General features: G+C 48.4%; 1 protein-coding gene across 1 annotated transcript in view, besides 1 other annotated feature; it reads right to left on the reverse strand.

Moving 5' to 3' along the window:
- TRIM14 (tripartite motif containing 14) overlaps positions 1 to 2,283 on the reverse strand; it is an 83,426-nt gene that overhangs the window by 18,401 nt on the left and 62,742 nt on the right. The window lies entirely within an intron of this gene.
- Positions 2,044 to 2,093: an enhancer, noted in NCBI's record as "active region_28687". NCBI's record gives its function as "activates an Ori minimal core promoter by ATAC-STARR-seq in GM12878 lymphoblastoid cells {active_cell/tissue: GM12878}" and the evidence as "EXISTENCE:reporter gene assay evidence [ECO:0000049][PMID:35858748]".

The raw sequence follows: 2,283 nt of genomic DNA on the forward strand, positions 1-2,283 counted from the left end.
TGCTGGACTTGCATCAGAAATTCCCTCAGAGATCCCCTCCACATATACAAACACACACACAAAGACAAGACGGACAGAAGGCCTTCCAAACCAAGATCCCTAACCAAGAATTCCAAGAGTATTCCTTCCAAACTATCCTATTCTCCATCTGAGAAGTCTCCCCGAAATCTTACTGATTGAGGAGAAGTCTCCAGAACCAAGACTCTTCCTACTAATTAGGGAGAGTAAACCGAGACCCCTGAAGAAGCTGAACCAATTGGGAGAAGGAAAGGGGTGTTGGCAGCACCTAGACTACTCACCAAATCAGACACCCCATAATGGGGCTGCAGCTGCAGACAATCCATGATGGGGCTACAAACAGACACTGTGATAAGGTTACAGTTACAGGCACCCCATGGTGGAGCTACAGAGGGACACCTTGCCATGGAGCTCTAGTTATGAGATATCTCCCCAGGACAATTTCTCTATTGCAAAGTGTACTCCATACATATTGGGCTAGTAGTGCCCTGCCGATAGAGATGACGCCAGAGTCAGCCCCCAGTCCAAAACTAGGTGGCCGCTTGGGCTGGCCTCTGGATCCATCGCCAGAGGGGGTCTACAGAACCGGGGCAGGTAGCACAAGAGCAATCCCGAATGAGCCCCCAAATTTTTAACTGCTCAACTGGTTCACCATGCCCACTACCTACACAGCTGATTTATCAAAATAGGGGAATTGCAATAGAGAGAGTAATTCATGCAGAGCCAGCTGTGCAGTCTGGCTGAGTTTTATTATTACTCACATCAATTTCCCCTAGCATTCAGGGATCAGAGGTTTTTGGGGTTTTTGTTTGTTTGTTTTTGAAATGGAGTTTCGCTCTTGTTGCCCAGGCTGGAGTGCAATGGCACAATCTCAGCTCACTGCAACCTCCGCCTCCCAGGTTTAAGCGATTCTCCTACCTCAGCCTCCCAAGTAGTTGGGATTACAGGCATGCACCACCATACCTGGCTCATTTTGTATTTTTAGTAGAGACAGGGTTTCACCATGTTGGCAAGGCTGGTCTCGAACTCCTGACCTCAGGTGATCCACCCGCCTCAGCCTCCCAAAGTGCTAGGATTACAGGTGTGAGCCACTATGCCCCACCTTGGAGATCAGAGTTTTTAAGGATAATGTGGTGGGTTAAGAGAGGCCAGTATGCCAGGAGTGCTGATTGGTTGTGTTGGAGATAAAATCATAGAAAGTCAAGGCTGTCTTCTTGTGCCAAGTCAGTTCCTGGTTGGGGGACACAAGATCAGATGAACCAGTTTATCAATCTGGTGGTGCCAGCTGATCCATCAAGTGCAGGGTCTGCAAAATATCTCAAGCACTGGTCTTAGGTTTTACAATAGTGATGTTATCCCCAGGAGCAATTTGGGGAGGGTCAGAATCTTGTAGCCTCCAGGTGCATGACTCCTACGTGTCTAATCTTGTGGCTAATTTGTTAGTCCTACAAAGGCAGTCTAGTTCCCAGGAAAGAAGGAGGTTTATTTTGGGAAATAACTTATCTTATTTTTTAAATTAATTAATTAATTTATTTATTTTTGAGACAGAGTCTTGCAGTGTCACCAGGCTGGAGTGCAGTGGTGTGATCTGGGCTCACTGCAACCTCCACCTCCCGGGTTCAAGCGATTCTCCTGCCTCAGCCTCTCGAGTAGCTGGGATTACAGGCACGCACCACCACGCCCGGCTAATTTTTTTGTATTTTTAGTAGAGACGGGGTTTCTCCATATTGGTCAGGCTGGTCTCGAACTCCTGACCTCAGGTGATCTGCCTGCCTTGGCCTCCCAAAGTGCTGGGATTACAGGTGTGAGCCACCGCGCCCGCCCAGGTGATTGTATTTTAAGAGCCTGGGGCTGGGAGGTCCGGGTACTAGTCCCATCTCTGCTTTGGCTTTCTGGATGGCTTTGGACAAGCCAGTGCAACTTCTCGAACCTGTTGCCTCTCATATAATAGGAACCTCCGCCACTTCTTGAAAACTTACTACAAGCCAAGTATTGTGATCAGGGGTTTCTATACGTCATCTCACAGTTCTATTTTATTTTTTTGCTTCAGAGAGAAACAAAAATAACGCTCCGGAAGACTGAGTAACGTATATATGAGCAGGAGCTGGTGACTGGCATAGGCTGGACTCGATCCAGCTCTGTGATTCTAACTCTAGCAACCCTGTTTTTTCCATTACACCATAGGGCGCGCTCTCCCCATGCTCCTGAGAGCAGGACATAGACTATGCCCTGCGCAGGCAGCCGTCCGCCTCCTGCAGGGAATGC

The sequence above is a fragment of the Homo sapiens genome, chromosome 9, assembly GCF_000001405.40.
Source record: "Homo sapiens chromosome 9, GRCh38.p14 Primary Assembly".
In the NCBI taxonomy this organism is placed as follows: domain Eukaryota; kingdom Metazoa; phylum Chordata; class Mammalia; order Primates; family Hominidae; genus Homo; species Homo sapiens.